Raw genomic sequence first — 7803 nt, forward strand, 5'->3', positions numbered from 1 at the left:
GCAGCATGCTTCATAATTGCCCAAACTTGGAAGCAACCAAGATGTCCTTCAGGAGGTGAATGGATGAACTGTGCAACGTCCCTCAACAGAATATTATTCAGCGCTAAAAAGAAATGAGCTATGAAGCCACAAAAAGACATGGAGGAACTTAAATTCATATTGCTAAGTGAAAGAAGCCAATCTGAAAATGCTACACACTACGTGACTCCAACTATAAGACATCGTGGAAAACGCAAAACTACGAGAGTACAAAGATCAGTGGTTTCCAAGGGTTTTGAGAAGGAGGGATGAATAGGCAAAACACAGAGGATTTTTAGGACAGTGGGACTTTTATTTATATATTAGATATTATATATAAAAGCATATTTATATATTATATATTAGTGGGACTAGTATTTTAATATTATTCTCTGTGTTACTGTAAAGGTAGATACATGTCATTACGGGTTTTTCTCAAAACCCATAGAATATACGGGACAAAGAGTGAACTCCAGTAACAGTGCATCAATATTGGCTCATCAATTGTAACAAATGTTTCACACTAATGCGAGATGTTAATAACAAGGAAAACTGCAGGTGTTGGGGGGAGGTGAAGAGATGTACGGGGATTCGCTGAACTTTCATTCGAGTTTTCTGTAAACACAGAACTAAAAAATGGGCCGGGTGCAGTGGCTCACGCCTGTGAGCACTTTGGGAGGCTGAGGCGGGTGGATCACCTGAAGTCAGGAGTTCAAGACCAGCCTGGCCAACATGGTGAAACCCCATCTCTACTAAAAATACAAAATTAGCCGGGCATGGTGGCTTGCACCTATAATCCCAACTACTTGGGAGGCTGAGGTAGAAGAATCGCTTGAACCTGGGAGGAGGAGGTTGCAGTGAGCCAAGATCATGCCAATGCACTCTAGGCTGAGTGACAGAGTGAGAGTCAGTCTCGAAAAAAAAATGAAGTCTTTTGTTTTATTATTTTATTTTAATTTTATTTTTTTGAGACAGAGTCTCACTCTTGTCACCCAGGCTGGAGTGCAGTGGCACGATCTCGGCTCACTCCAACCTCTGCCTCTTGGATTCAAGCAATTCTCCTGCCTCAGCCTCCCAAGTAGCTGGGATTACAGGCGCCCGCCACCACCCCCGGGTAAATTTTTGTACTTTTAGTAGAGATGGGGTTTCACCATGTTGGCCAGGCTGGTTTCGAACTCCTGACCTCAAGTGATCTGCCCACCTCAGCCTCCCAAAGTGCTGGGATAACAGGCGTGAGCCACTGCGCCTGGCCTATTAATTAAAAAAAAAAAAATTAAAGCTCTTACAGCCCTTAATGTATATACACTTACAGTGGGGTTTTCTTTGCTTATTCCTGTCTCATCTCCTAGAGAGTGACTTGGTGCATCAATTGATAGCCCAGGGCTTGGCGCCTGGGCAGCTTTTATTATGTGGTAAGGGGGTATAACTGTGCCACTCTTATGCTTAAAATGCAGGAGTAAATTCCAAGCCCATTACCGTGCTGCATAAAGGCTGTCCTGATCTGAGGCTACCTTAGCTGTTAACACATACAACTCCCTTGGGTGATGTTGGGTGCAGACCTGCCACCTGGGACCCCAGAGGGAGGAAGTTTTCAATGCTCTTTAAAGCCTTCCAATTCTATTAAAGATAAAGGCTCCATCTGAGACTAGTAAGTCTTTAACACCCCTCTAATGCTTGCAAAGCTTCCTTTTGTCCTGTCCCTACCAGACTTCAGACTTCGGCTTAGAGCTGGTTCCTCATGGTATTGTTCCTTGAATTGTTGCTTGAATTCATTGTTATGCCACTTCTATTAATGGAATATAATACTGGTTTTCCATTCATGGTAATAACATTAAGCTTCCTTCTTAAATCAGCTCATTCATGGTTTTAAAAAAGTAAGTCGAATTAAAGAAAAATGTTAAAAGATAGTGTCGGCTGTGACAGATTGCATGTGGATGTCTGAAGTTTAAGAAACACGACATGAATTCTAAGAGTCTTTGGAGCAATGACGTGATGATTTGGTTTTCAAGCTGAAATATATTTATCACAGGGTTATTTATGATGCAATAATAATAATAATAACAATGAAAGCAACTCAAATGTTTATCCCATAGGAAGGGTGACCATATAATTTTTCATCCAGAACTCTTCCAAAAGTGAATGAGGTGCTATTAATAATGACACCAGAGGAAAGGCACAACCTTGGAACATTCTAGGCAAACTACCATGTTCATTAGGAAATGCTGAAGTAAACCATGGTATATACAGTTTGTAAACTATTGTGATTATGCAGATTTATAATTGACACTTATAATGATTGCATAAAAATGCTTAAGACATTATAATGTTAAACAAGAAAGGCATATCATCCAGTGTTCGGAGACACACCGAAGAACCACCCTGGGAGAATATATGTTAAAATATTAATCATAGCTAACTCTGAGAGGTGAGATCAAGGATGATATTTATTTTCTTTGTTGGAGACGTATGTATAAATGCGTATACCTCAGCTTGTTCTAGAAAACTCTTATTCGACACACCTGACCATGCCACCTCTCTTGAACTTCTCCACATCCTTCTTTTGTTCCTGAGACAGAGTCCACACATCATGACCACGGCCTAGAGGTCTTGTGTGATCAAGCTCCCTGCTGTGTCTCTGCCCAGCCACCAAAGCCCTCCCTGCGCTCACAGCTACTCACACCAGCTCTGTCCTGCCCCTCCGCAGGTCTCAGTCACCTCCTCAGGAATCCTCAGCCCTTGCCAGGCCAGGTCTCTGCTCCTGACACCTGCATCAACCTTTGCTGTTCAGTCTTCCCAAAGTAACTCTTTTTATTTTCCATAGTTATTTGCTCTGCGAGGTCTTTCCTGCTGAACGCAAACTCCTTGAGCACAGAGGTCATGCGCTCATCTCCAATTTATCCCCATTAATGCGTTAATCCTTACTGTGCCTTGGCCCGGGCAGGGGCTCCATAAATGATCTTATCTGAACCTCTGACTGTTGATCAATTTCATGGGAAACTTCTTGATGCATTTCTGGGTTTTACCAATGTTCCTAAATGGACAACAGATACTGTTGCAATCTGTAAAATCAGTGAGGACCTTGAATAGCAACATTCCCCAGTGGATTAAAATACAATTCGATTTGCCAAACTTTGATTTATACACTTTCCAATGATCTGTCTTTTATGTAAAGCAAGCCCCAATTCAGAGATTTTTCTCCCCGAAAGCTCAAACTATGAGGCTGCATTTTTCAAGGCTGAGACGGGAGTGGGGAGAGGAGGGCTCCAGGCTGGTAGTTTCTTAAATGCCATCCACCACTACCACTGGCAGTGTCTGAGAGTCCTGATGCCTGTGGCTGTGTATTAAGGAGAGAACACTGTGACTGGGGCTTTGATCTCAAGAAAGAAAAGCTCCCATGTCACTCCTCCTGGTACCTCCGTCTCTCATGTTCACTTTGGAGAGTGCCATTCGCTGACAGGGACGCAGAACGTTCCCTTGTGCTCCCTGCAGCCTGCTCTTTATACAACAGCCAGCACAGTCCCTTTAAATCTGGGTCAGATCATGCCCCTCCTGTGCTGAAAATCCTCCAGTGGCTCCCATCTCACCATGGGTCAAAAGTCAACATCCATGGCCCATAAGTGAGGCATCAATACTATACATTATCCAAACCAGGATACTTTGAGAGTAAAAGCAGCTCCACAGTCACACGGAGTGACAGTGTAAACTGGGACAGCGCAAGGTGCGGGACGCCCTCCACCATCTGGTCTCTTCCACTTCGGCACCCTGATTCTCGCCCTCTGCTCTTACTTGTTGCCTTAGCTTCTTACTCTTCAGTACAGAAACAGCCACAAATCCTTCTCAAGGCCTTTGCATTTGCTGTTCCCTCTTCCCGGGAGGCTATTTCCCTCACTCCCTCGCCCAGACACCCACAGGCTTACCTGCTGCACATCTCTGGTCGAATGTCACCTGCCAGAGAGCCTTTGTGCCCTCTCTGAGTGACAGCCTCCCTGCCCCTGTCACTTGCATCCCTCACCCTGTATTTTCCTTCACAGCACTAGCAAGCGCCTGCAACCTGGAGACCCTTGTTCATTTGTAGGCGACTGGTCTCCCTTGTTAGAAAGTGAGCCCCAGGAAGTACCAACTTTGCTTAATCACTGCTGAATCTCCCACCACTAGCCCAGCGCAGGGCACACAACGGTGGCTTAGTAAATGTTCATCAAAGATTGGAGGAATATGGGAGGGGAGGGCATTAACCCTGACTATGCAACAACTTTGGGTCAGACACTGTCCCTGTGTCTTATCACATGACCTCCCTCTATTCATCAGGGCAGAAACCATCACCCCCATTTTGGATGAGGCAACTGAGGCCTTGTTGATTAGTTGACTGACAGGTACAGAGCAGGTGTTATGTGTCAGCTCCTGAAAGGACGAAAGACATTACCATATTTCACCATCATTTTCTCTACCAAAGAGAAAACTCTTTGGGGGAGGCCACAGCCCACCTCCAGTGACTGGTTAGCAGAGCTGGGACCATCCTCACATCCCCAGGTGAGACTCTCACTCCAGTGCTCCTTCTTCAAGTCCAGACAGAGCATGGATCTTACCAAGAACCAGAAAGCCCTTTCTGATTTCCTAAACCTGAGGACAGGCCTGTAGGAGCTCACCAGGTGTAACTGGGATTTAAGAGTGAGACAGATGCACATTTTCAGAAGGCACACTTCATGTCAAAGGTGATGAAGGATGAGGGGAGCCCTGGGAACAAAGAATAATGGGGCTTGGTGTAAGTTAGACAGAGACGAGACAAATCATGAGGGAATGCAACATAGATGCAGATTTACATATTAGAAGGCTGATTATAAATCTTTGTTATAAATCTGCATAGCTAACGGGAGGCGACATGTAGCCAGCACATGAATCAAGAATGCTGAGATGACATCTATTAGGGAACCATTGTTCCTGACACTGTCGTGGGGATTTTTGTTGTTTTCACTTTGGGGCCTTTAATTAACAGACAAGCCCCATGGCTGGGCTCATTTGTGTGAAGGGCTTGGAGCTGGGGGTGGGGGCGGGGTGATCCAAATCTGAGGGATCATAATGATTGTCGTGATCATTATGACAAGACTTTCCTCACTAGTGATGGTGTACGGCGTTGTCGTGGAAACCGTGCGCTTATTAGTAACGTGCTCTTTTAAGGTTACCGGGATGTTGGAATCCCTTAACCAATGCCTGCTCTGTGATCACTGCACAGTGGCCTTTGTAGCATGGACAAAGAACCAGTAATCCGCAAGGCCTTCAATGTTTTTATTCCAAATCTAACTCTGGCTTGCTCCACATCCCCCACAAACAGCCTATTAAAATGATCTCCTTGAGCCCTCTGGGTGCTGGAAATGTTCTATGGTGTGATCTGAGTGGTGACCACACAGGTGTATGCAAATGTGAGGCTCCATTGAATGACACACTTAAGCACACTTTTATAGCACATATGTTACAGCTCTATTAAAAAAATTAATTTCACCCTTTTCTTACCACCAGCATAGTTTTGTCTTTTCAACAGGTGTGTGCCTCACTCAGGTGACATCAGAAATACCATAATCAGAGGCACACCCCTTTAAGAAGAAGCAACAATGTGAAAATAGCATGCAGGTATAACCCAAAGCTTCTACCAGTCATCTTAAAAGCACATAGAGCCTTAGAATGAACCCAACACAGAGCAGAAGAGAGCCTAGTGATGCAGAGATCGTGATATCCTTATTGAGTCCTTTGATCAAACTCTACCTGAAGCTAAATATCCCTCGGTTTTTCATTTATGTGAACCAACAAATTACTTGGGCTTTTTTTTGTTGTTGTTTATTTGTTTAACCCATTTGAGATAGTTAGGAATCATAAACCTCTTATGTATCAGGTGCACTTCATATTACTGAATATATTACTGAACCCAGTGAAATCATTATTTTTCTCTCCATTTGACAGACTGGAAACTGAGGCACAGTGGCATTCAGGGACTTGTTCAGAGTCACCCAGGGAAGCAGAATCTGAAGCCAGTTCTCTGTGGCTCCTACCATGCTTTTTCCTTCTTATGACCACGTGAAATCGGTCCAGAAAAGAAAGTCCAGAACAACAGTGTTCTGCAGTCCATAGCATAAGGGGAAAAGTACTAAAAATGAAAAAAAAGTATTTCTCATAAAAAAAAGATTTAGAAAGAACTCACAAAATAGTGGTGAGAGGGTGATGTGTCTTATCCTAAACATGGTATTGTTTGTCTTACTCAGTACTTTAAAAAAATTACCTGCCTAGAGATTGAAAAACAGAGATGTCACATGCATATTGAGCAATCTCTGCAGTCTCTTGGAAATCAGAGAAGGTTTTGCCATTCTAGGGCCACATTTCCCACAGCGTATACTCTCCAGTTGGCCCCAACCCCCACCAGCTCCCCTTACTCACTGGCATCCACCTACGCTGTGTCAGAATTGATGCATTGATAATAAACTTTAATCTGCTGGAACACTTTTGTTGACTTGGATTCCATAACATATTCCTACTCTATACCCTAGGAGGTCTAGCATTCACTTGCTCTCCTACTGGGATCCATGCTCCATTTTCTTCTTGAGAACCACCCACTTCCTTCCCCACTATTTCGAGTGGGGTTGAATCCATCCCTGGCTCCAGTGATGTCCATGTGATTCGGTTCTAATCAAACAGAGCATCACATCCATCTGTCCACAGTGACTGGCATGAGCTCAGGATAGGACACATGACCCAATTAAAGCCAATAAGATGTCATGAAACTTTGATTGAGATTGGTGAAAATAGCATGTGGGTATAACCCAGAGCTTCTGCCAGTCATCTTAAAAGCACGTAGAGCCTTAGAATGAACACAATACAGAGGAGAAGAGAGCCTAGGGATGCAGAGATCATGTTATCCTTATTGAGTCCCTTGATCAAACTCTACCTGAAGCTAAATATCCCTGGAATTTTTATTTATGTGAACCAACAAATTACTTGGATTTTGTTGTTGTAGTTTATTTGTTTAACCCATTTGAGAGAGTTAGGAGTCATTTGTTTTCAAGTGGTAGACAGTTCTTCCCTGGAGAATCTCCCAGGCTAGTGACAACAGGATCGGGACTCAGTGGGTAAAAATAACAGAAACCTGAACTTCAACCTGACATAAAGATGGAACTTTCCAACACTGAATCATTGAGGAATAGGAATATGTTGTGGAATCCTAGTCAACAAAAGTATTCAAGCAGATTAAAGTTTCCTATCAATGTGTCAATTTTGGCACAGGGTAGGTGGATGGATAAGATGAACCCAAGCCTTAGGTTCCTTCCATTTTGATGATCCTATGAATATCATGAATGACACAGTCCTCAGAGAAGGATTTCCTAAATACCCTAGGGAGGTTTCTCCCCTACCCTTGTTATCCTTTATCTCCACATCCCAACTATTTCCCAACAATTACCATTATTTTTAATGATTGACTTATATTTTTGTCTATGTGTTTGTCTCCTCTACTAGACTGTTAGTTCCATAACAGCAGAGATCTTGTCCATTTCATTTTTCTGTACTTCCACCACCTAGCAAAAGGCCTGCCAAACACAGTAGACCTTTAATTAAGAGTTTGCTGAATGAATGAGAGAATGTATGAGACCTTCCTCACTCTGCATTTTCTATGAAGTCATTCAGAAAGCCAGTGTCCAAATGGAACCCATGAGGTCTGTAGCCATTAAATCTCACATTCATCCTATTTAAAGACATCTCATCAACAACATTTAATGCAAAATGTCATTTTAGTAAAGGACATTATGC

General features: G+C 43.3%; 1 long non-coding RNA gene across 1 annotated transcript in view; it reads left to right on the forward strand.

The window, feature by feature from the left end:
• PDYN-AS1 (PDYN antisense RNA 1) overlaps window positions 1-7803 on the forward strand; it is a 60308-nt gene that overhangs the window by 23153 nt on the left and 29352 nt on the right. The window lies entirely within an intron of this gene.

The sequence above is a fragment of the Homo sapiens genome, chromosome 20, assembly GCF_000001405.40.
Source record: "Homo sapiens chromosome 20, GRCh38.p14 Primary Assembly".
NCBI classification, from domain to species: domain Eukaryota; kingdom Metazoa; phylum Chordata; class Mammalia; order Primates; family Hominidae; genus Homo; species Homo sapiens.